Source organism: Homo sapiens, chromosome 7, assembly GCF_000001405.40.
Source record: "Homo sapiens chromosome 7, GRCh38.p14 Primary Assembly".
NCBI classification, from domain to species: Eukaryota; Metazoa; Chordata; class Mammalia; order Primates; family Hominidae; genus Homo; species Homo sapiens.
In genome coordinates, this window is record NC_000007.14 from 25,720,427 (window position 1) to 25,747,556 (window position 27,130).

At 40.9% G+C, this 27,130-nt stretch overlaps 1 long non-coding RNA gene across 8 annotated transcripts in view, besides 3 other annotated features; it reads right to left on the minus strand.

Annotated features, from left to right (window-relative positions):
- Positions 1 to 27,130, minus strand: part of LINC03007 (long intergenic non-protein coding RNA 3007) — a 196,819-nt gene that overhangs the window by 127,126 nt on the left and 42,563 nt on the right. The gene's annotated exons all lie outside the window — the stretch shown is intronic.
- Positions 12,296 to 12,962: an enhancer, noted in NCBI's record as "OCT4-NANOG-H3K27ac hESC enhancer chr7:25772342-25773008 (GRCh37/hg19 assembly coordinates)". NCBI's record gives its function as "activates a minimal SCP1, AML or CMV promoter by ChIP-STARR-seq in naive H9 embryonic stem cells {active_cell/tissue: H9 hESC(naive)}" and the evidence as "EXISTENCE:reporter gene assay evidence [ECO:0000049][PMID:30033119]".
- Positions 13,230 to 13,740: an enhancer, noted in NCBI's record as "NANOG hESC enhancer chr7:25773276-25773786 (GRCh37/hg19 assembly coordinates)". NCBI's record gives its function as "activates a minimal SCP1, AML or CMV promoter by ChIP-STARR-seq in naive H9 embryonic stem cells {active_cell/tissue: H9 hESC(naive)}" and the evidence as "EXISTENCE:reporter gene assay evidence [ECO:0000049][PMID:30033119]".
- Positions 23,509 to 24,102: an enhancer, noted in NCBI's record as "H3K27ac-H3K4me1 hESC enhancer chr7:25783555-25784148 (GRCh37/hg19 assembly coordinates)". NCBI's record gives its function as "activates a minimal SCP1, AML or CMV promoter by ChIP-STARR-seq in primed H9 embryonic stem cells {active_cell/tissue: H9 hESC(primed)}" and the evidence as "EXISTENCE:reporter gene assay evidence [ECO:0000049][PMID:30033119]".

Below are 27,130 nucleotides of genomic sequence, written 5' to 3' on the forward strand. Positions count from 1 at the left end.
TGCTGTCTGAAGACAGAAATCAGCGACATAAATTGTGAGACATCAAGCCTGGTTCTACTTGTCTTGTCCTATTATCAACTAATGTCCACTAGGGGCTGTCTCTGCTCAGCGACTGCACTCCATTCCTGGCCAGCACTGTCACCTTTGTTCTTCCCAAATCCCTTATCAGCTGGGTGTTATTATTATCCCCATTTTAAAGATGGGAAAACTGAAGCTCAGGGAGAGTTCAATAATTTGTCAAAATTATGACTCAAATGTTTTCATCAATCTTTGTTCCCAGATTCAAACAATACCATCTGGGGCACTGCAGGCTGCCAGCTATTCTTTCCTGTCTAAGGAAGGAGAAGAGAATGTTAACTGCAGCAAAATGATCTTTTAACCAAAAACTTTCCAACAGGAAACCAAGCCAGTTTTAATGGACAAAAAAAACAAAATAAAATAAAATAATACTTATTTAGAACATGAGGCACGAGAGCCACTACAACCCAGCACACTTGTAGTTTGGGATTTGCAGTCCTTCTGTGACCAGCTCCATCTCTCCCCATCACCTCTGCCCCTCAACAAAAACACAATTGGGATAAAAATTTTAAAAAGTTAAAATATCTTTACCTTCCCTCAAACAACAATCAAATCTCTTTCTAGAACTTGTCTTTTCTGAAAGCCAAGCCCTCCCAGAGAGCATCTTAGATCTGGGACCCCTTCTCAATAGGCGATTGATGATGCGGGACCCAGGTCCCTGCATTCCTCAGGCGGCTTTTCTCCAGGGAGTCCCACCCACACTTGAGCTTTCTCTCAACCTCTCCTTTCTGGATCCTGCACCTCAGAGAACATAGAAATTTGGCAGGAGGTAAATTTGAGTCCTTTGGAGATTCTAAGAAGCCCGCTATGACCCAGTAGCACATCAAAAGCATCTGACTTTTGCCCTGCACAGAGCCTTCATGCCCTTTCCAAAGAGCGTCCACCCACTCTCTATGATGATTAGTATTGATACTTAGTGAGCAATTACAATGCACCACACACAATGAGAAACACAAAAGCTCCTTTACCTTCCTTCCACCCAGTGCCCAGCGTCCTACAGATGAAACGAACAATAGCTGCCATTCACTGTGCCCTTACTATGGTTCAGATCTTGTGCTGACCAACTGACATTTACTCTTCACAAGAATGTCAATAGGTGGGAAGACTTAAGTATCCCCATTTTATAGATGGTAAAGCTGAGACTTGGATTCTTTCCACGCTAGTGAGTAGCTGTGCTGAGATCAGCAGGTTCCAAAGCCCAAGCTCTTAACTAGTGTACCATAATGTCTTCTACCACTTAGTAACTATTCACGGCCAGGACAGAGAAAATGATGGGCTTTGAGTGACACACATTTTCTGCTCAGGTTATCTCCCATCTTGTCTTGGTTGCACTATTAAATATTTTAAAAGGAGAGGCAACAAGATGGAAAAAGACCTTCACATTTCACTTGCATTTATTTTACCTTCAGGCAGGCTTTGCAAACACTCTACAAAGGGAGGTAGACAAGACACAGAATAGCAGTAAATGCCGAGGAAAATGCAAATCCCTTCTTTCACAGACACAGTTATCATTATTCCAATAAAGTGTAATGAAATAATAGAACAGCCATGCAAAGTGGGATTCAAGGGGACTTTTATGTTTTCTCTGTATCTATTGTCCACAAATGCTTTCCAGCATGACATTTTCCCAGGCCTGGGTCAAAACTGAGAAAAAGAAGGACACTGAAATGATCATGCTTTTTATAAAACTAAATATGTTTACTCTAACTGATTATTCTTTATGCTAAAAAAATTTTTAGTATACTAATAGCCTTTCTCCATAGAAGTGATGATGAGAGAAGCTGTTCCTTTTCTTTCTCTGTCTTTTAATTGTCCTTACTTGATCAAATAAGAGTTGGCCACCTTATGTCAGTTTTTCAAAAAACTCTTTTTAAAATTTTACTTATTCTAGAAAGTCTTGGGATAATTGCTTCTGATTTTTCTATTTTTTCTGAATAACATGTATTGTTTTTGAAAAACTAATAAAAAGTTACTTTAAAAGAAATAAACCATAAATAATTAAGGGAACTACATATGCATACCTGTCCTCCTGACTATAATTTTATTTTTTTAAAAATTTTAATGCAGCCATTTCTGATTCTTTGTGTTACCTTCCATCACTGGTGGGAAAATGCAGAAAAGCAATGTCAAGGGGTTTTTTGGCAATGTCGAAAAATGTTAGAGGTGAGAGAATAATTAGAAGCAGCAGCGGGTCAAGTGAAATTTAGCAAAAGAATATTTTAAAATTATTTTGATGAAACCAAACTGATACAATAAGAAATCATTTGTTTGCTGGGCAACAGACGACATTTTTCTCTATTGCAGAAGTGAAACTTAAAAAAATTAGCTTTGCCATAGCTTAGACTGCGGCAAAAAAAAATGGTAAATATCTGATTTAAAAAATTTTAAAGCTAATTATCTGACCTTATTGACAGTCAAGGAACAAAACCTCTATTGTGAACAGACTCTATTTCAAGAGCAGACCAAGGAAGGATTTGGCAAAATGAAGTTTAGACTTAGACTAATTTCACATGCTAATGAGAATCTCCAGATAAAAGCTGCTTTGTAATGGGTGCTAACCAATTGGCAGATTAACAAGATTCAAACCAAACAGAGCACGAATTAGTCATGTTTGTCATAAGACCATATGGCTAGAAAGAAACCAGGTGAATTTGGTTTAGCCTGTGTTGGAGGTATTTTTTGGTACAATATAGTTAAACAGCCAGAAAAATCAGAGTATCTCATAGTCTAACAGCCTTTACAGGGAGATTGTGCAAGGTTCATGTAACCCCTTGGAATACCTTTCAGGTGGATAACGTTTGTATCCATCAAAATAAGATGCTAGAGTTTACATTCATTCCCTTTCTTTCAGTCTCCAGAATCCCTGCACCAAAGAGAGAAAACATGGCAAAGAAAAGAATACAGGTTCTCGAGCTACTATCTAATATGTTAGCCCTAGCTACATGTGGCTATTTCCATTTAAATTCAAGTGAATAAAGTTTGTAAAAAGTAATAAAATTTAGAATCCAGTTACCTCACCACATTTCCATTGCTCAACAGTCACATGTGCCCTGGCTACTGTATTGACGAGCATAGATATAGAATATTTCTATCATTGCAGAAGCTTCTATTGGGCAATGCTGCTTCAGAGTCAAGGATCTCACTACATGAACTTCACTTAATTTACTCATCTGCAAAATTAGGAAACTAATAATACCAATCTCACAGGTATGTTAGGAGAATCAAATGTATGCAAGAGTTGTTTGTAAGCTATAAGACAAATAAATGTTAGCTATTTGGATGAGGATAGTGCTAACGATGATTGTGACGATGATGATTAATGATTTCCATATAGGAAGGCTTCAGATGGTTAGGGATGATAAGCACTCTTAGCCTTTACTCAAAGTTTGCACGACCCCAAGTTGTGAGGGTTTTCCTCCAACTGTATGCTCCCTCTTTCTTCTTGAAAGTTTTTCCTTCACTCCATGCTGGGAACAAAGACCTAGACAACGTAAAAGGAAAACATCCCAGAATTCTATCTGAACACAAATTATGTGTGACTACTAAGCTTAAAATATATATATATATTTATATATAAATATCATACATAAATATATAATATATAAATATTTAAATATATATAATATATATGTATCAGACAGAATTCATGTTATCCACCAAATTTTGTGTTTCCCAAGGAAGTGCTCCTAACCCCAAGGAGCCTGTGGAAGTATAAGGGTTGGCCAGAGCAGGGGCAGGTGGAGGAAAGGAAGGGAGTGTCAAGGAATGTGGTATTAGAGTTATTGCTACTATTACAAAAGTTTTCCCAGAACTAGTATGTTTTCCAGGATGAATCTAACCTGGCTGATTTACATATAAAGCATTCATTCTGTCTGAAATTAAATTAATTCAGTCAACAATATTATTTGGCAGAGCCACAAACAATTTTCATTTTTGTAAGTCAAAAATAGTCAAACACTGGCAATTTCATATGGTTCAACCTAATATTGCCTCAATTTGACCTGTAGCAGACGAGCCAAGATTTCAGGTTTTAGCTGATAGACCTGGGTTCATATCTCACTCTGCCATAATTGCTTGTCTTTGGGAAATTAAAAAATAATAGGAAAAAGAAATTTAGTATTTGGACTAAATCTGAATCTTTGAGAAAAGAAAATAAGAAAGTGGTTTTTGGCGGCAAAAAGGTTGACAACCATTGATCTACTCCGCAAGGTAGGGCTTTTAATTGGCAACATACTGCCTCCTTTAGGCAATTTTAATCATCTAGAACATAGAGAAGAAGAGAGATAAGTAAGCAAAGGACATCTTAAAAAACAAAGACTTATCAAAAAGCCCATGTCCTTCATATCTTAGGCGTGATAGAAGCACTTTCAGGTTTGACCAAGACAATTGTGTGTAAAAAGCTATACCAATGGCAGAAAGAAGCAAAACTAACTGCAAAGGCCGGATACAGAGGTTAAAAATATATTTATCTAACAGAACTGACAAGAAACTCTTGGTCTTGACCTTCTCAATGGCCTGACAACTTTACCATATTATAATAATGCTAAATATCCCTACTCGAGAAAGCAGAAACGTATTATGTTGTCAGGCTGTTCCTATATAAATAAGAAGTCATTGCGCTAAAAGCTATGATGCAGAGAAGGGCAGCCCATATGCCTGCCACCGATAAGGGAACCAAGGGAGAAAGGCTGCTCAAATACCACTTGCCCATCATGGCCATGCATGAGAAGGGAAAGCTGTGTCTGCGAGGACACCCCATCAGTGCCAGAAGAGGAAGGCCAAATCAGGTTGTTGAGACCAGGGGTGAGATAGAACACCAGCCAAGACACAGAATCCACACAAACCGAGAGAAGTTGAAGAACCAAGAGATCTGAAAGCAAAAAGTCGCAGAGCAGACAATCAAAAGGTGGGCTAGATGGATTCTGGAACAAAAAATTACTAAAATTGTGGCTTTTACACAACATGAGCATAGCTCTATGTGGACAAAAGGGACCAAAAGGGATACACTTTTTACTGAAAACTCACCCATGTAGGAGGCCCTGTTTCAAACCACAAAAATTCCAACTTGTTACTGGAAATGAAGAAAATACGGTCTTAATTTTAAACAACAACCTGATATTCATTTAGACCAGCTGTTAAAATGACAGTATGCAGAAAAGAGCACAGAATTTTGATTCAGACAATCCTGAGTCATGTGGCTCAACCATTTATTTTTATGCACAAGGTCACATACTTGAATCTCGGAGGATGTCAGTGTCTTCATCTTTGAAACAGAAGCAGTAGTGCCACTTTCCCAGTGTTGTGGTAAAGACTAGATGAATCCACATATGGAGAGTACCTGGGTCAATACCTGGTACTTAGTGTGTATTCAATAAGCCTTAGATCGCTTCTCTTCTCTGTATTGATAATTCATTTTTAGCAACTGAAACAACAGTTTCTAGACTTATTTTCTCTGTTCTATTTGTGCTTCATCAGTCATTCCCCTTGCACACTACCAAACATAAGTTGCTACCTAAGAAGGCTGCCCTGTTTATTCTTCCAAAGCAATGTCAATTTCAATCCCCACTTTTAGACTTACTTAGAAAGAATATCTGAGCTTTATTTTTGGTCTTAGTGATGATAGTATCCTTTAGCTGGATGTCAACTCTAGGAAGATTTCATTGTCAGCTGATGGCAGCAGGGTGGAAAAAATCCTTTAAAAGCAAGAATAACCTCCCCCACACCTGCCCAAGAAACAAAACACCAAAGCCAGCAGCCCTCGCCTCCCAGCGTGAGCAGCTGCTCTGGGCTGAGCCCTTAGCTCTCCAGGCCAGGCTGCTGCCTACCTCACCCTCCAGAGGAGCCCTTGTTGGGTCTTCAGTCCCTGGTCTCTGGACTTATCAGGAGCAGACATCTGCAGCCACGTCTGTGGGGACCACCCAGAGGGCAGCTGGAGAACCCTGGGGCTCCTTGCAGAATTTGCAGAAAGGTCAAGAGTCACATGCCCCAACCCGTTCTCTAAAAGCATCTCAGAAAGACCCGGTGGAAAGGTCATCTTAAGACAGTGACAGGGCACAGCTTGTTGGGGGAAGAGAGGAGAGGACAGAAGAATTTCTTTTTTAAGTAGCAGAAAGTACATCTGTTTCTTGCTCAGCTTAGACTTTCAAGTCTGATTTTTATTTCGATGGCATTTCCTTGGCTTTTCCAATTCATGTCTAAATCACAAAATGTGTCCATTGTGCACTTCTGGGCTTGCGTACATGTGCCACAGAGCACAACACCGCAAATGCATTTTCTCACTTCATTAAACATTGCTTTAAAATGGCATCCAAATGTCCGCTCTCACAATCGCGTCTAGGGGAGATTGTGTTACTTTTTCCCCCACAGTGGGAACAGAAGGAACAGCTAAGTCACAAGCTGTGATGTTTAATATTTTTCAATTTCACACGTCCAACTCTGAAAGCTGATTGTAGGGACAGCCTGGTCAGCCATGCCACTGCGTGCAAGGGCTCTGGTTGTCTTGGGGAGGCTTCCCTTTAGCCTTGCAATTCTCTGATCTACACTGCAACAGCCATAACTGGCCTCACCCCAGGGGATCCCTTCTCACTTCACTGGGTGAGGTGCTGACTCCACCTCCCCCAGGCAGGTCAGGACGCATTCTGCTGACTTAAGAAGATGCCACGTAAATTAGAACTCATGTAACCATATGGTTCAAACCTGCGGGTCATATTTTATACACAAATGACTATGACAGGCAGTATTTTTGTGCTGACAAGTTGTATTTCATCCATGTTTACTTAGAATTCCATGCTATCATTAAAAGCTGAACAATAGAACTTTATCTTATTTTCACGCAAAAATTTCACTGAGTGTCCCTCTTATTAAAAAAAAAAGAAGAAGAAAAATTCACCATGAAGCTTTTGCTCTCTCTTTAACTCTTATTATCCAAGTGTTGGGTGCTAAGATGCTTTCATATATTCTGACATCGGGAATTTGAAAGTTCTTGAGCCCTGGCTTCCAGACTGGCCAGCATTAAGTGTGCTAAACAGCTATTTTATTTGGGTCCCAAAAATAAAAAGTATATTAGTTTACCAACCACCGCATGCTGTGCAGTGACCTCTGGATGTTTGAAAGCTGAACCAATTGATTCAGTCTTCTGTGACTTTACCTCCTGTAGAGCAGCAAATAAGAGAATCTCCAATATAGTGGCCAGTTACCTCCCAGACCTCTAGGTTAAGAAAGAAAATAGTAAACAAAATGCTAGCTGGGTCACTCTATAGCCTCTGGTCCTTCAAAGACAAACCTTAGAAAATACTTCTCATGTTTCCTAGAATTCTGATTAAACCCACAACCCAGCAAGTCCTAGAGACTCTGACTATATTAAGGTTGCAGGAACTAAGAGACTTCAGCACAAATCTTGAACTCAAGCTGGAAAAAATAAATATAAATATATATATATATACACATATACATAAATAAATAAATATATACACACACATTAATAATGCCTTCCACCTTGAGAAAATGTCTTAGACCCCCACATTCTCCTCTCTGCTTTTGCAATCCAATGTGACCCTATTGGCTGGGCATGATGGCTCACGCCTGTAATCTGAGCAATTTGGGAGGCCGAGGTGGGAAGATTGCTTGAGCCCAGGAGTTCAAGACAGCCTGGGCAACACAGGGAGACCCTGACTCTATGAAAAGTAAAAATAAAAAGAATCATCTGCAGTGTGACTCTATTTTCTCAATCAAAACTAGGCAAGTGGTCTGGGAAAGGTATTTTTCCAATTTATAAATGAATTGATGGAAAATCCTCTGACAAAGCTATCAAAATTATAGTCATATTGGATTACATATTTAACAACTGACCCTTCTTGGGGTCATTTCTTTTAAATCAGGGCTGCCCTGATCACTCCAGGCACATGGTTGCCAAATCTCAACCCTCCCCAGAACCTTCAGAAAGCTGTCCTGAAGTCTGAGAGGCATCTCTGGAAGCTCAGGGAAGACAGTTCATCGCCTCTCTCCAGACCTGGCTGTGAATCCTCACTACACTTCTTACTTTCTTTAAGCAACTCCATAGTGCCACCGAGCCATTTCCTCACTTGTTAAATGGAATGCAATATACAATGCCTAACGCATTTACCAAATGATCATGTCTTCACTCTATCCCTAATTGAAAGAACAACATGAAATTGCTGCCAGGTAGCTGCCCAGGACAAGGAAAAGTGCGACGGGACTGAAATCTGATTTTGCTTCCTTCCAGGCTCCTCCCTTTTGGAGGTGTCTGTCTTCCCCAGGTGTGTATCTTTCAAGTCTTTACTGATGATGGCTTAAGAATTGATTCATCCCAGGTGTATTTTAATGAGAGACTGCAAAACTTTAAAGACTTTAAAGATTGAAAGGAATTATTTTCTTTCAATGAACATGTGTCATTCTATTATTAAAGTAATATATGATTACTACAAAAAAAATGCAGAAAAGTAAAAAGCAAAAGAATTGCCCATCATTCTGCTACTGAAACACAAGCACCATTAAAATTTTGTTGTATTTTTGGCACGCATATTCTTTGTAGCCTTTACTTGTGTGTGTGTGTGTGTGTGTGTGTGTGTGTAAAAGGGGATGATTATATTGTTGATTTTAGTTTTGACTTAGGAAAAATTGCATATACAACTTTGTATCCTTCTTGTCATTTAGTATGGTAACCCACCAAGCATTTGCTGCATTACCATACCCTTTCCATAAATAATAATTTTTAATGGCTGCAAAATAAGGGATGCATTTTTGAAAGTAAAGTTCTTTTTTAAATTTTTTTAAACAAAAATTTCTAACTCTAATAGATCCTGGAGAAGATAAATGTATAAAACCAAAATTAAATGTAAGTTCTCTGAGAGCAAAGACTTCTGTCTCTTTTTATTCTCTGCAGTAACCTTGGTGCTTAGACTACTGCCTGGCCCATGATAGGTGTCCTCTAATGAATAAGAATAAAATCAGAGGAACATGAGGCCTCTAGGACTCCAGCTTCCAATGTAGCACTGTGCCCTGGTTTGCTATGAACTCATTCTACAGAATGATTGACAAGTAGCCTGCTTTCTCTATGTTTTTATTTTCTCCACGGTCTTTTGCTAAGACACAAGTACAAGTAAACACATGATTCATCAAAATATCAATTGATTTTTAAAAGCACCTGTTTCCCATTTAAACCTTCACAACCATGTTTTGAAAACTGTGGGGAAATCTGAAACTGTCTCAAAATCTTTTTAGAGTTCTTTAGAAATTTTTTTTAATGCCAGTTGTAAAGTCATGTCCATGTCAGTGATTCTCTGATCCCCAAATATCTAAACCTGTTGGAAACTGTGCAAACAGATAATAATAGGACCTCATTTAAAGCAAAAGTAAATTATAAAAAATCCATTACTTTGTTTAGCCAACAGCTTTGATACCCAAGAAAACACATCGAGACTTTGCCCTGTCCTGGAAGCATTTGGGTAAAGTGCTGGCGAATGTGATATCTAATTAGATTCTAGGGTCTCATCACCAAGAACTAGGGGAAAGATCAGGAGTTCAACCCAAGAAACCAGTTCATGGAAAATATCAAATAACAGTTGGGCAATGCTGAGAGGCTATTTACTGAAATGCTCATACCTAGTGAAAAGACCTCCTGGGCAAAAACTTTTTTTTCTAATCTAGGAACAACTATTGAATTTGCTTTTTGCATTATACTGAATAATTCTTCTTTTTTTTTTTTTTTTTTTTTTTTTGGAGACAGAGTCTTGCTCTGTCGCCAGGCTGGAGTGCAGTGGCATGATCTCAGCTCACTGCAACCTCCACCTCCTGAGTTCAAGCAATTCTCCTGCCTCAGCCTCCCCAGTAGCTGGGACTACAGCTACGTGCCACCACACCCAGCTAAGTTTTGTATTTTTAGTAGAGACGGGGTTTGACCATGTTGGCCAGGATGGTCTCGATCTCTTGACCTCATGATCCACCCACCTCAGCCTCCCGAAGTGCTGGGATTATAGGCATGAGCCACCGCGCCCGGCCTATACTGAATAATTCTTAGTATATTACATTAACGTATTGCCATAATTTGGTTTTGCCCTTCTGAAACCTAAAGATATAATATATGCCTCTGTAAATGCCCACAGAACTACTGTGTGAGCAAAATTTGACTTTGAAAACAATTATAATGTGGGCAAGAAAAATGTTAAAATCTTTAAACATTATCAGGCCAATATATAGCTTGTTATATGAGTTCCAGCACAGGCAGCCCAAAGAAATAAGGAGAGATGTGCATTGCCACTTTCTCCCATCTCTCCCAGCCTACAAAATGGGCTTCAGATGACAGAGGAAGTGTCTGAGGCAACGGCAAATGTGGATAACAGGTTGGAAGATGGAACTACCAAGGGAAAGAAGGCTAAAGGAAGTGGGGAGATTCAATGAGATAAAGAGGAGATAGAGAACTTTTTGGATTTTAAAAATTAATCTTCAATTACGTGAAAGGATGTTTGTGCAAAATGGTGACCCACTTTTTTCCATCTCTACTGGGGCAGATCAAAAGAAAATGGACTTAAACTGAGGCCGAGTGGTTTAGGTAAGACAGAAGAAGGAATTTCCTGAATGTGGAGGTCGTTAAAAACTAGAATGAGTTACTAAGGAAGTCTGTGGACACTCTTCCTCTGGGGAACATTTAAAAATAAGATAAATTTTCATCTGTCAGGGCGAGTTTAGAAGTAATCCTACTAGAAGGCCTCTCAAAGCATTTTCCAGCCCTATAACCTGAGGGCCAAATTCCCTCTGATTTTATTTCTAAAGTTAACTAGATGCGAGATGAATGCCTGAAGCAGAATTCCAGATTTTAGATACAGTAACTCGAGGCTGTCACCTTTTGTTCTATAATAAGATGCCACTTTGCATAAAAACTAAAGTCCTAATCCTTCCTGGAAACCACAGCAAGGAAAAAATTCACAACTCAAAACTTGGCAAATTAACTCTTGCTCAGACACCTTCACTCTCATCCTTAAAAATACAAAATACCATCTCCTCCTCTACACTGTTTTTTGTTCCCTTATGCCTATGGAGCACGTCTTTCCAGTTCTTAATTTTATTTTTCCCAGACAGCCATTCCGAATATTCCATTTTTACAGCTAGTCAGTTTCTTTAAACAGTCTTTTGAAACCTAACCAAATACTTTCCCAGCAATTATTTGGCGATGTTTCAATCTTAGATATACCAAGCTAAAAAACAAGTTTGCATTTTGAACAGCTGTACTCAGACACATTCCTTTCTCTTCATCTTCTTCTGAGTTTTAATCAAGCCAATCGGGGGCTTTCATTACACCTCCCAGGATGGAATAACCTGACATGGTGAATATTGATATAACACCCTCCCTTATAATTGATCAGCTTTGTTTCAGTTCCATGGTTTTCTTTTCTTTTAAAAGCTTCGGGTCTCCTTTGTTTCAGGTTAAATCAGGAACATTAAAAGCAACTGATATCTAAAGCCTCCTCCAGGTCACTGCTGCCTCCTCCTCCTCATTCTTAGCCTAAGGTTTTTTTGTTGTTTTTTTCTTTTTTCTTTAGCTTCTCCATCCTCCTACTCACCCCTCACCCCAAGGCATTTGTCAAAGGTTTCCTCTGACTTCTCCAACCCTTTTCTCCAGTGTGAACTCTGGATTCAAGTGTGAGGAAAGGAAATCTGGCTTAGGTAAGGAAAGGGGAGACCATCCAGGGTAAAGGGAAAAGAAAGGGGTTTCAGTCGCAGCGATCGCTGGCCAGACACTTCCTAACAGTTACCTCTCAAGGACAGCAAGAAAAGTCCTTGAAAATCTCATCTGGGCACATGGATGGCAGGATGGGGCACAAAGAGCTATGTGGGCTCCTAGAGAGACAAGGTGAACTTATTCCTCAGTTAGGAATCCAAATAAATCATAATGCTTAAACTATTCGTGAAATCATCAAGTATCTACAGATTTTTTTCCAGTTCTAAATGAAAGTAGCCAAATGATGGTCATTAAAATGAAAGAAAATCATCCTTATTTTTACTTCTGTACAAGCTTCTCGAAGAACTTCAAGTCTTAGTGGAGATGGGGTGAGGAGCTAGTGACAGGGCTCTGATGAGTGGAGAACACCAGGTTCTTCATCTCGAGTAGAATTAGAAAAAATGAAACGGACACACATGGAGTAGTTTTAAGGAGCAGAGAGTTTAATAGACAAGAAAGAAGGGGGAAGAAAGAAAGAAGAAGCTTCCCTGTACAGAGACAGAGGGAGGGAGGGCTCCAAAGCTGAGAGGGAACCCTGCTATCAACTAGCTATATTCGATGGCTGGAGGAGGCGGTGTCTGATTTGCATGGGGCTCAGGGGATTGGTTTGACAAGGCATGTCATTCACGTAGACCGTGAAAAAACTGGCTCTCTCACCCTAGTCTTTTAACATGCAAATGTAGGGCGCCATGATGTTCCACACACCTGGGGATATGTGGGGGCAACCATGCTGCTAGGCACATGTGGGGGCAAGGGTAAGAGGGCAACGGTGGGAATCGCCATGTTGGGTGGACCCAGTTTCTAACGCCTTGCATTTGCATATTAAAGGTTGCCAGCCGGCCATGTTGGGTGGATCCAGTTTCTAACGGTTTGCATTTGCATATCAAAGGTTGCCAGCTGGGGTCTAAGAGTCAGGATTCTCTTTCATGCTAGACAAGAGCCGCGAAAAATCTTCCAAGGACCCCTTTTTTCCTCTCTATCTGCCTAAAATAATTTCTTAGTAACTCCTACCACACTAGATCGTCTTAGTCTTTACACTGAGAAAAGTAAAAGAGGTGTGTTCTCTTTTTGTACAAATGGGGAAAGCCAGGAATAGAGTGATGACATATTTTACCCAGAGTGACATAAGTAATCACAAGGTTCTCTGCATCTATATTACTATATGCTTTGCCAGAATGCCCTGTTAGGATGAAATTTATTTATATAGTTAAATAGTTAATAACTACATAAAGGAAGGAGAGAGGAAAAATAAAAACTAAATATATATATGTGTGCACAAAAAGATATTAAATTGAGCTTATGAATAATATATTTCAATAATACATTACTAATTATTTAACATGAGGAGAGGAGCTGATTAGTAGTAGTCAGTCTTCTTGGCCATAGTCAGTTTCATCAACCTCTTCAGTTCTGAAACCCCAAGGCTCTCCCAAGGTTTACCTGGGGAGATAACCACAGCCCCTGTCCTCTTCAGGCAACTCGGAGTTCAACTTTCCTTTCTCAGAAAGAGAGATAGCAACATCTCAAGAGATAGAGCTAGAGAAAAGTCACAGAAGCATCTATGAATTGGTTCCCCATCAAGGACACCCAGACACACAACCCACTCAGAGACAAACCGTTCTGGAATACTTCATGTTGGAGTGGTTAGCCCTGCTCTGTGAACTGGTAATCCAGTCCTTTGTGGAGCCATCTCTGGGCTAATTGTCTCTTTGTTTCTTGAAGGTTGAGAGATTATCTTCAGCAAAATTCCTCCGTTTAACCCCTGGACTTCCTTACCCCAATTCATCCAACCACCACTCTCATTTGCAGATGAGAATCTTCATTTGCACACATGGCCTTGGCCTTTGCCTCAACCCTTTCCCTAAGACAGCTAGCTGGTTCTATCTTGCTCTCTCTCCTTCGTTTTTGGTGCAGATCAACAGCAGAGCCAACCTTGGACAGGACAGGACGAATCCACACTTCCAACTCACAGAAGCATGGAACCCAGTTAGGGAGAGTCTCCCAAAGCCTTAAGGTACCACAGGGCACCATGTCCTCTGCCAAAACTTTTGGAAACAGGGCTGGTTCTACTGCAGCAGAACAGATCACCCTTTGAACAAAAAGCTCCAAAACTTACAAGAAAGAGAAGATGAAAGCTGCAGCTCTCTTCTTTGAATTATATATTATCTATGCCTAGAATGCCCAGAGGGGTCATGAATTTAGAGAACTCAACAACAACAAAAAGTCAATATCTGACACCTTGTGTTTCTAAAACTCATTACAGCTCTGGGAATGAAAGTATAGGAAGAAAAAAAAAAACAGTGAATAAATTATTTAGAAGAGGAAATGTTTGGATTATTTTCTTGCGTTTTCTTGAGCTTTTCCCAATAGTTTCAGAACTGGTGGAAAGAGAAGGAGTTCTGTCTCCTAAATTATCTCTTGAATTCAAATTTTCTCTGGTCTGGGATTGGAAGGATCCTTCATACTTTTATAAACTGGACTGAAAAATACAGAAGCCCCCAATCTTAACCCTTTCTTCTCTTTCTAAAATATCCTAAGGAAAAGCAATAAGAGATTTAAATCCCATATCATCTGAGAAAGGGACTGGGTTTTTTTCCCAAATCAACCTTTCCAATTAATGAAGCCCCTATTCCTTATACTGAATTGGGGAAATGTCTTGTGAAAAAGTTGCTGACCCTCCTCTGATACCTGGAACCCTACTACAGAGTCTCAGATTTGACTCAGAGAAGGTTCCAGAGGTGTGTCTGCGTTGTGCTGTATTGCACTGAGCTGGTGCCTGACATTTTAGATGCTCAGTGAACATGTGGCTCTAACTCAGTCACTGCAAACTCCTTAAGATGTCTTGCTCATCTCAATGGCCACAGTAGGTAAACATTCAATAAAGCCTGATTGACTAAACAAATAAATAAATGAGCAATCATGTCTAAATCACTAAGGGAGAGGTTTGCCCCCTCCTTCCCCACTCCCATCCTCCAGATCGATCTTTTCTGAGAATCACTGCTTGTCCGTTTTCGTCCCCTAAGACATTTTAGTAATCAAAGGAATGTACCCTATTCCAAGAGTCCTACACATTCTGTTTCTTATTTCATCTGAGAAAGAATTTACTGAAGAGTCCTCTCCACCACATGTGGATTGAATTTCCATTCTCTTCTCCCCATTTCCACCTTTCTTTTTATTTCTGTCTCCATCAGAGCAGAGCATTCAATATGCTGCAGAAATAATTTTCTGCTGAATGAGGTTCGGCCATAAGTCAAGGGCAGATTTATTAAGGCCCCTGCACAGCCTGTTCCTCGGCTTACTGTCGACATGACAGTTTAAATCTTTGATCACCCTTACACGTAACCCCTTCACTGCTGAACAGCCCAGATCTACAAGATGAGCAGCTCCTCCTGGTACTTGAGATGAGTTGAAAATGGTTCTAAATCCAAGCAGACAGGGCATCTTCACCAGGACCCAGGGGTGTCCAGTGTGTTCAGGGATTTTCAAGGTACAGTGAGGCATGGCTTAATGACAGGGACATCTTCTGGGAAATGCATTGCTAGACGATTTCATCATCGTGTGAACATCATAGCGTGTACTTACACAGACCTAGATGGTAGAGCCTACCACACACCCAACCTATATGCTATAGCCTATTGCTCCCATGCTACAAACGTGTAGAGCATGTTACTGTACTGAATACTGTAGGCGATTGTAACACAGTAGTAAGGATTTGTGTATCTAAACATATCCAAACCCAGAAAAGGTAATGCATTTTGTGCTAGGACCTTATGGCAGCTATGATGTCATTAGACAATAGGAATTTTCCAGCTCCATTATAGTTTTGTCGGCACACTGTCATAAGTGTGGTCTGTGGTTGACCGGAACACAGCTATGCAGCACGTGACTGTATCCCTCCTCCCATGCTCACTTCTCTTTTCTACCTGCTTCTGCTTCCAGGCAGGAACTTCATCATCTCCACTGCTGTGCTGTGGGAAAACTCCACTGCAGCTTCTGTTCCCAGAATAGCTGTTTTATCTAGTGAGTTCACTGGCTGTTCTGTGAGAGACTATTATTTCTGTGTTCTGTTTCTGTTTTTAGTAATTTTACCTTTCTGTGGCAAACACCTGGCATCACATAAACCAGTGTTTTAAAACCCATGAACCAGTCGGCTAGTAAGGTTGTATGGGTGCTATGACAATTACTTTTACATGTAATTTGATGTTGTATATTGCATTTGAGGTACTTTGGTTGCCACTACATACACCCACACCCACACACACACACACACACACTTCACAAAACAGTGCTAGAAGCTGCTATTAAGAATATTAAAATGCTTGCACAAACTTGAAGTCTCCAAGAAAAGATTCCTCTGTCCATGCTAACACACGTAAAATACCTGTATCGTGTTTCTTTGATATTCCCTTGTCTTAGATTCCTTGGCCTAAGTCTGGCTCACTGATTCCCACTGAGCAAATGATTACTATTGTTATTCCTCCTATATAGATAGCACTTTACATGTATCCATGTATCCACTTTACACATATCCTCATTAGCTTCTAATAATTCCTGCAAGTGGGTGTTATTCTGATTTTGCACACAAGAAAATCTGAGGCCTTAACCCAATGAGTTGCTCAAAGTGAGTCACTAATGTAAGTAAAAGACAACCCTCAGATCCTCTTTGGAGGCACAATCTCCTTACAAATAACTCCTTAAGAAATCAACACAATGCTGAATGGCTTGTGAAAGAGGGGTGTTAGTAAAATACCTCTTTTTGTCTGAGTGTAAGTACAAGTTTGCACTATACAGAAAGGTATTAAAAAGGGGGAAAATGACCCAAATCCCCCAAAGAAAAACCATGCTACCATTTCGATTCATATCCTTCCAGATTTTTTTCAACGAGAAGATGTTGCTGTGTTTGTTTCTTTGTTTGTTTTGGTTTGGTTTTTTGAGACAGGGCCTCACTCTGTCGCCCAGACTAGAGTGCAGTGGCGCAATCTTGGCTCATTGCAACCTCCACCTCCCAGGCTCAAATGATTCTCCTGCCTCAGCCTTCCGAGTAGCTGGGATTACAGGCATGAGCCACTACCACTGGTTAATTTTTTATTTGTTTTTGTATTTTTAGTAGAGACGGGGTTTCACCATGTTGGCCAGGCTGGTCTCGAACTCCTGACCTCAAATGATCCACCTGCCTCAGCCTCCCAAAGTGTTGGGATTACAGGCGTGAGCCACCATGCCTATCAGTTGCTGTTGTTTTAAGATGAGATACTAATCCATTTTAATCAAAAATGTTCACAAAATACCCCTTGAGCATATAGAAACAGGAAGAGGGGATTAGACATTGGCAAAACTGAGATTGTATAGCTAATGAGAAAACCCCAGCAAATAAGTTCTTTATTAAAAAGTAGTTTAATTGATTCAGCCTAGAAGTAACCTTAAAGATTTCTCTATTTTTGAATATTAAAACAGAAGGCAGAGACTGGCAAACTCCTTTTGAATGATGCAGGAGAGTTTGGAGAAAAAAAGATAAGATACGGACTAGAAATGTATAGATTAATTATACAGCATGTGTATAATGGATGTGAGGAAGAGTTATTCCACCTTCAGGAGAGAATGATTTCTCACAGTTATCACAGGGAGAAGTCAGCCTACCAAATCTTCAGTTAAGGAACCTTAACTTCCCTTGGTGGAAAACAAAATGACAGGAATTGGGGTGGAGAAGACAGGCATGGAGAAGAAAGTATAAATGGAGGAAACATCCAAGAATTTGGGGTAGATTTCCCCTTTTACAAAGAGAAGGAGAAAACCATGACCAGACATGAGGACCAACGCAACCACCATCAACTCATCAGCCACAATATCGCCCATGGGGTATATTCCTCTAAAGTTGCAATTCTAGAAAAGAAAAAGAATCTCAGAATTCAGCCCTAGACTGGTGGAAGAGCTAAGCCACAGAAGTGCTTAGAGGTCGTACATCTTCTGTTTCTGTTCAGGTAAACACAAGTTCCTGCCCACGCCCAGTTATTGCCAGCCACACTTGAAAAGAAATAAGAATACATTTTTCTTTCAGCAGAAGATTAATTGTGCATCCACTGACTTGAGTGTCAGTGTGGTCCTCGGGGCCTGAGAAACTGCTCGGAAGAAGGAAAAGAAAGCAATACACAAAGTACGCAATCAGCTGAGGAGAGCAAAATCATCAGGACCTGGCTTGGTGCTCTCAGGAGAAGTAACAAAAAAAGTAGTCAAATTCCCAGAAAGTTGAGTGTTTGCAAAAGACCCTAAGTGTTTCCTACTTCGGGCAACCCATATGAGTACACTGTGCTGGTCCCCTGTTAGCCCTGCAGAAACAGCCTAGCACCCTGCACTCTGTCCTCATCCTAAAACTGAGGTTTATCGAAGGGGAAAACTGTCCACTAGGCTGCCATTTTTCTCCCAGCAAGTCCTCAATTGTCACTAACACCAGCCAGCTGTACAAGGTCATCCACCCCGCTCACTTGCAGGATATTTTCATTATCTGCCAAATGAGCTGGGGGAGCTCTTACTTGTAGAGAAATATATGTGCTCCCTCCCTAGTCACACCCATTCATCTCCTTCTTAGAGCGTTTTACTTGGGCCCTATTAATGATTTCAGGCAGGCATTTATCTTGGAGTTTATGGGATATTTGGCCATATCTGCTAATACCGTGAACATATCTTTAATCAATGTGCTTTGATGTGCAGTTGTAATAATATAGGTGTATCATTCCATAAAAGTTTCCAATTTTAAAAAATTCAAAATACTATTTATGATTGAATTTGGTCCCACAAATTCTTATTTATGAAAACAAGTTGCCCATAAATATGTTTGAAAAGCTACTTTCTCAACATTTCTCCCCAAATACCTTAAAAGCCAAGCGTATAACAGCCGCATTAGAACAATGAGGAACAATGAGGATAACTGACAGGTTTTGTGCCTGTGTATTTTTCTCCTTTGTGCCACAAAGTTTCTAAGCCTTTGGGAGCCCCCAGGAACAATGACTCTGGTTTAATAACTGTGAAATGCTATTGAACTAGCAATAAAAAATATTCTCCACTGCCAAACAATATGATACTTACAACAGCCAGCATTCCTGCCAATCACAGGGCATTCACGCAAAAGTGGCCTGAGTTCCTTTAGCAACGAGAGTGCCCCTTATAAAATGTGTGTGCACAAGCACAAGGGTTTGGCAACACTGGAGGAGCTCTGCAGCTTGACATCACAGTTTAGACTGCATTCAACTACTGTATTTATGTTCACCTAGAAGAAAAAACATCTCTCTTGTTTGCAGAAGATAAATTAAAACATCAGGGTTGTGTGCAAGTGTCAATGGCCTCTACTACATGCATTTTTTGCTCTGTAAGTCCATCTTTCATAAATTAGAGCCCCTATTCTATAGGTCCACTAGTACGTTCCCAAGGTTCCTTATTTTGTTGGATAGATTTGGCAAAGAAGCAAGTTATTCCACATGAAGGTGATTTTCTCTTTAAGTGAAAGAAGTGAGCAGGATAAAGCGAGGCCTCACTTAAAATAAACAAGAAAGGAAGAAACCATCCATTTCTTTAAAGCTGAGAAGTATTCCTTTCTGGGAAGCAGTCTGTAAGGTCCAACAAGTCCTCAACCGGACGGCTGAGCAAATGACCACTCAAGGAAGGTTAATATAACCATATTCTCCCGGCAGGGAATTCTTTTTCTACATGAGATAAAAACTGGCCTGAGTTGGGCAATTCGTCTATGTTTTTAGGTACACATTATGTGGAGGAGAATTGGTGGGCAAACACTCTGAAATTGAGATATTTAGAATAAATCATCACTGCTTGATCACTGCTGCACCAAGTCTGGAAATCTAAATCAAGATATATGGACAGAGGAAGCATAGAAGGTCATCTCAGATGCCATCTAGTTGGAGAACCCAGTTATGCATAAACTGAAGTCACAGTAAAATTTCGGTAATTCTTCTGCTATGCGCCATTATTATTCTTCACCCTCTGCTTGTGTGAATTGGGGATTTGATGCAGCAACAGATGAGATTTTGAGTTGGTTCTTTCCCAGACAAAAGGAATGAAAGGAGAAAATTCAGCGCTGGGCGTGGTGGTGCAAACCTGTAATCCCAGCACTTTGGGGGCCCAAGGCAGGTGGATCACCTGAGGTCAGGAGTTCGCGACCAGCCTGACTAACATGGTGAAACCCCATCTCTACTAAATACAAAAAAATTAGTTGGGCATGGTGGCGAGTGCCTGTAATCCAAGTTACTTGGGAGACTGCGACAGGAGAATCACTTGAACCCAGGAGGTGGAGGTTGCAGTGAGCCGAGATCACGCCACTGCACTCTAGCCCGGACAACAAGAGCAAAACTCCATTTCAAAAAATGAAAACAAAAAAGAAAGGAGAAAATTCTCATGGAGGTGGGGTGAATCAGCACAGAGACCAAACGAAAAGGCATATTGTATTATGTTCCATATTTTCCTTGATTCTTGACTTTGGGGGCTGCAGTGTAACAGTTTCTAAAGGATTCAAAGAAGACAGAAGTTGCAAGCAAAGGAGTTCTAGGAAGTGTAGCAACAGAACTCTTCTTCGAATTTGACACTATAAAAAGATCCTTCTCAAATTGTACAAATGACATTTCATTGATAAATAAGAAATCTTTTTTTAAAAAAATACTAATTTTTTCATTAGTTTAGGGAGTGAGGCCAACACTATAATCAGTGCTTTCTCAGTAAGTTCTTGGTCCCTCACTTGGCTGTGACCTCCCTGAGAAGAGGGACCTTATGTTCTCCATCCAAAACTCCCTCACAGCACTTAACACAATATCCACACATAGTAGGTTCTCAACAAATGTTAACTGACAGTGTGGCTACTTTCTCAGTAGCTGAAAATATTATTAGTTTAACCATGTGAAATTGCTTCTTCTGTAGTCAAAAATGGTCAAATAGTGGTGATTTCACATAGTTAAGCCCAATACTTACTAACTACCCTTATACTGTTAGGTACTTCATTCATTCCACAAAAATTCCCTAAGAGGGACTGTGTGCCCACCACTGCAGCCAGAACAAATCCCACTTTACAAGTGAGGAAAGAGATACGTAGCTTAGCTAAGAGATTGCCAAAGCCAAGAAGTTGCCCGAAGAATAGAGAAATCTTGTGTATTAGTCCCTAAACCCAATATAAACCCAATATAAACAATTGCAAGCAGAAAAGTGGGTTTAGGGTGGAAATTTTTTCAAGCACAGTGCTCAAGTAATAAGAAAATTATCTTTCTCCCTCTATCTTTCTCTCTCCATCTCTCTGTTGTACTGGTCTCTCTTCTTTTGTATGTTGACCTCATTCTCTCTTGTCATAGGCTTTCTGTGTATACAGCTTGCCATCCAAAAGTATCTCAAATCTGTCCCAGTGCCCACACACTAGCTTTTATAGAAGGATATAACTGACCCTACTTGGGCCATATGCCCTGGCCCATTCCTTATGGAGAGAGCAAGATTGAAGTTGGCCAGGCCTAGACCATGAGCCTACCTCCCAGGGCCAGGGATGAGGCTCTGTAATTGACAAGTCACCAGAACCATCAGGGATAGAAAGGCAATTTCCCAGTAGAAAGAGAGGGAGTGGCAGACAAAACCACAGATGCCCAATATATCAAAGGAATGCCTGCACTCGCATGTTTATTGCAGCACTATTCACAATTGCAAAGATGTGGAATCAACCTAAGTGTCCATCAGTGGAGAATAGGTAAAGAAAATGTGGTATATATACACAACAGAATACTATTCAGCCATAAGAAGTAATGAAATCATCTCATTTACAGCAGCATGGTTGGAACTGGAGGTCATTAACTTAAGTGAAATAAGCCTGGCACAAAAAGACAAATATCTCATGTTCTCACTTATATGTGGGGCTAAAACTCTGGACACAAGGGGTAGAGAGTAGAAAAGTAGATAAAGACTAGGAAGGGTGAGTGCAGGGGGAAGATGAAGACAAATAGATTAAAGGGTACAAACATACAGTAAGATGGAAGGAATAAATTCATTGTTTGATAGCAGAGTAAGGTGACTCTACTTAATAAAAATATATTGCACTCAGGTGATGGACAGCCTGAATACCCTGAGTTGATCACTACATATTACATACATGTAACAAAATCTCTCCTGTACCCCATAAATTTGCACAAATAAAAACAAAACACCACAGATGGCCAATATCACTTTGCTGCTGTCCTGCCTGAGAGCTCTAAAACTATTTATTTGCTGACTCATGAATTATGTCTGCATCACAAGAGTTCGAGACTGAAAGACCAAATCACTACCTACTCCAATTTGGATGACCCCAACTTTTTCATCCCCAGCCACAGGATGTATCTGTCACTTGCTTCTTGCCAGGGCCAAGACACTATAGGAATTAGTACACACTTTTGCTGAGCCAAATGGATTTGGGGTCCCTCTGAGCCAGTTAGTTCTGAGCTACAACCGAGCTATATCACGTCTGCAGACTATACTGTGGCCAGGTCAGACCTGCTCAAGGGTTTCTGAATTAGGTGCCTCTTATTTCACTATATTAACCAAACAAAAGTGTGTGTGGGCATCAGTGCAAGCCTGTAAGAGGTGAGAACCAGAGGGAGCACTGTGCTGCCTTTCTAAAACAAGATCAACATTACAGGTATTTGAGAATTAATTTCGGCAGGGCAAAGGTTATCAGAAAATGTAGTTAAAATAATCTGCAGATTTTCTTACATTCTTATAATATTTATACAGGAATTTATTGATAGGAAATAAAATAAGTGATTAAAGGCATCTATAGGTGTTTAATAAATATTAATTGAACTAACCTGGATTAAATTTAGGGTTGTTTGTCCTTCCAGTTAAATAGGAAAGCATGCTATGACTGCTAGACTTAGCTATCTTCCCAAAGGGAAAGTGACAAATCTGGTAGCAATTAGGAAGCGGCGGGTGCAATGCCCTGGCAGGATTTGGCTGTGGTTGAAGCCCAAGGGGTGGGACTGCATCCACTATATGAGATGGTCTGGAAAACACAAAGGTGGCCAAAGGAGGGGGCCTGGTTATCAAAAATAGCCTCACTGCACAGGGATGCCCTGCCTCCTGCCTATGCACCCTGCTGAGGTCTTCTCTAGTTTCCAGGCTATTTTCTTAACAGAGGGACCATTTGAATATCATGTATTAGCTCTATATGGACGTGAGGGAGAGTCACGACAAGTTTAACGAGTCAAAGGTCAAACATCTTAGATGAATATGGCCTGGCCTTCAAGGGCCAGGCACAGCCCTTCAGAGACTGCCCAGCGAGAATAGACAGGTGCCCAGAGAGTGAGATGCCACCCCCAGGGACCTTAGAAGCCTTTGGCCACCTCTGTGGAAGTCTAAACTGCACTAGGACTAATTCAGTGTTGCCCTGAGGTAAATGCCTCCCTGCAGGGTTGCCTGCTCACAAGGGAACTTTCCCAAGAAGGTTTTTTTTAAACCATTCACTCACCAGAAATTCACTGTTGCAAGCCTTGGGCCATTTTATATGCCAACACGACCACTATTTGGAGGATGCTTGGTAGTGAGAGGAGGGAAAGGGCTTATTGCCGTTGATAAAGAATGCTGTTCCTGGAGGAGGAGCCAAGATGGCCGAATAGGAACAGCTCCGGTCTACAGCTCCCAGCGTGAGCGACGCAGAAGACGGTGATTTCTGCATTTCCATCTGAGGTACCGGGTTCATCTCACTAGGGAGCGCCAGACAGTGGGCGCAGGTCAGTGGGTGCGCGCACCGTGCGCGAGCCGAAGCAGGGCGAGGCATTGCCTCACTTGGGAAACGCAAGGGGTCAGCGAGTTCCATTTCCGAGTCAAAGAAAGGGGTGACGGATGGCACCTGGAAAATCGGGTCACTCCCACCCCAATACTGCACTTTTCCGACGGGCTTAAAAAACGGCGCACCACGAGATTATAACCCGCACCTGGCTTGGAGGGTCCTACCCCACCGAGTCTCGCTGATTGCTAGCACAGCAGTCTGAGATCAAACTGCAAGGCGCAGTGAGGCTGGGGGGAGGGGCGCCCGCCATTGCCCAGGCTTGCTTAGGTAAACAAAGCAGCCGGGAAGCTCGAACTGGGCGGAGCCCACCACAGCTCAAGGAGGCCTGCCTGCCTCTGTAGGCTCCACCTCTGGGGGCAGGGCACAGACAAATAAAAAGACAGCAGTAACCTCTGCAGACTTAAATGTCCCTGTCTGACAGCTTTGAAGAGAGCAGTGGTTCTCCCAGCACGCAGCTGGAGATCTGAGAACGGGCAGACTGCCTCCTCAAGTGGGTCCCTGACCCCTGACCCCCGAGCAGCCTAACTGGGAGGCACCCCCCAGCAGGGGCACACTGACACCTCACACGGCAGGGTATTCCAACAGACCTGCAGCTGAGGGTCCTGTCTGTTAGAAGGAAAACTAATAAACAGAAAGGACATCCACACCAAAAACCCATCTGTACATCACCATCATCAAAGACCAAAAGTAGATAAAACCACAAAGATGGGGAAAAAACAGAACAGAAAAACTGGAAACTCTAAAAAGCAGAGCGCCTCTCCTCCTCCAAAGGAACGCAGTTCCTCACCAGCAACGGAACAAAGCTGGATGGAGAATGACTTTGACGAGCTGAGAGAAGAAGGCTTCAGACGATCAAATTACTCTGAGCTACGGGAGGACATTCAAACCAAAGGCAAAGAAGTTGAAAACTTTGAACAAAATTTAGAAGAATTTATAACTAGAATTTCCAATACAGAGAAGTGCTTAAAGGAGCTGATGGAGCTGAAAACCAAGGCTCGAGAACTACGTGAAGAATGCAGAAGCCTCAGGAGCTGATGCGATCAACTGGAAGAAAGGGTATCAGCGATGGAAGATGAAATGAATGAAATGAAGCGAGAAGGGAAGTTTAGAGAAAAAAGAATAAAAAGAAATGAGCAAAGCCTCCAAGAAATATGGGACTACGTGAAAAGACCAAATCTACGTCTGATTGGTGTACCTGAAAGTGATGGGGAGAATGGAACCAAGCTGGAAAACACTCTGCAGGATATTATCCAGGAGAACTTCCCCAATCTAGCAAGGCAGGCCAACGTTCAGATTCAGGAAATACAGAGAACGCCACAAACATACTCCTCGAGAAGAGCAACTCCAAGACACATAATTGTCAGATTCACCAAAGTTGAAATGAAGGAAAAAATGTTAAAGGCAGCCAGAGAGAAAGGTCGGGTTACCCTCAAAGGGAAGCCCATCAGACTAACAGCGGATCTCTCGGCAGAAACCCTACAAGCCAGAAGAGAGTGGGGGCCAATATTCAACATTCTTAAAGAAAAGAATTTTCAACCCAGAATTTCATATCCAGCCAAACTAAGCTTCATAAGTGAAGGAGAAATAAAATACCTTACAGACAAGCAAATGCTGAGAGATTTTGTCACCACCAGGCCTGCCCTAAAAGAGGTCCTGAAGGAAGCGCTAAACATGGAAAGGAACAACCGGTACGAGCCGCTGCAAAATCATGCCAAAATGTAAAGACCATCGAGACTAGGAAGAAACTGCATCAACTAACGAGCAAAATAACCAGCTAACATCATAATGACAGGATCAAATTCACACATAACAATATTAACTTTAAATGTAAATGGACTAAATGCTCCAATTAAAAGACACAGACTGGCAAATTGGATAAAGAGACAAGACCCATCAGTGTGCTGTATTCAGGAAACCCATCTCACGAGCAGAGACACACATAGGCTCAAAATAAAAGGATGGAGGAAGGTCTACCAAGCAAATGGAAAACAAAAAAAGGCAGGGATTGCAATCCTAGTCTCTGATAAAACAGACTTTAAACCAACAAAGATCAAAAGAGACAAAGAAGGCCATTACATAATGGTAAAGGGATCAATTCAACAAGAAGAGCTAACTATCCTAAATATATATGCACCCAATACAGGAGCACCAACATTCATAAAGCAAGTCCTGAGTGACCTACAAAGAGACTTAGACTCCCACACATTAATAATGGGAGACTTTAACACCCCACTGTCAACATTAGACAGATCAACGAGACAGAAAGTCAACAAGGATACCCAGGAATTGAACTCAGCTCTGCACCAAGCGGACCTGATAGACATCTACAGAACTCTCCACCCCAAATCAACAGAATATACATTTTTTTCAGCACCACACCACACCTATTCCAAAATTGACCACATACTTGGAAGTAAAGCTCTCCTCAGCAAATGTAAAAGAACAGAAATTATAACAAACTATCTCTCAGACCACAGTGCAATCAAACTAGAACTCAGGATTAAGAAACTCACTCAAAACGGCTCAACTACATGGAAACTGAACAACCTGCTCCTGAATGACTACTGGGTACATAACGAAATGAAGGCAGAAATAAAGATGTTCTTTGAAACCAATGAGAACAAAGACACAACATACCAGAATCTCTGGGACGCATTCAAAGCAGTGTGTAGAGGGAAATTTATAGCACTAAATGCCCACAAGAGAAAGCAGGAAAGATCCAAAATTGACACCTAACATCACAATTAAAAGAACTAGAAAAGCAAGAGCAAACACATTCAAAAGCTAACAGAAGGCAAGAAATAACTAAGATCAGAGCAGAACTGAAGGAAACAGAGACACAAAAAACCCTTCAAAAAATTAATGAATCCAGGAGCTGGTTTTTTGAAAGGATCAACAAAATTGATAGACTGCTAGCAAGACTAATAAAGAAAAAAAGAGAGAAGAATCTAATAGACGCAATAAAAAATGACAAAGGGGATATCACCACCGATCCCACAGAAATACAAACTACCATCAGAGAATACTACAAACACCTCTACGCAAATAAACTAGAAAATCTAGAAGAAATGGATAAATTCCTTGACACATACACTCTCCCAAGACTAAACCAGGAAGAAGTTGAATCTCTGAATAGACCAATAACAGGATCTGAAATTGTGGCAATAATCAATAGCTTACCAACCAAAAAGAGTCCAGGACCAGATGGATTCACAGCTGAATTCTACCAGAGGTACAAAGAGGAACTGGTACCATTCCTTCTGAAACTATTCCAATCAATAGAAAAAGAGGGAATCCTCCCTAACTCATTTTATGAGGCCAGCATCATTCTGATACCAAAGCCAGGCAGAGACACAACAAAAAAAGAGAATTTTAGACCAATATCCTTGATGAACATTGATGCAAAAATCCTCAATAAAATACTGGCAAAACAAATCCAGCAGCACATCAAAAAGCTTATCCACCATGATCAAGTGGGCTTCATCCCTGGGATCCAAGGCTGGTTCAATATACGCAAATCAATA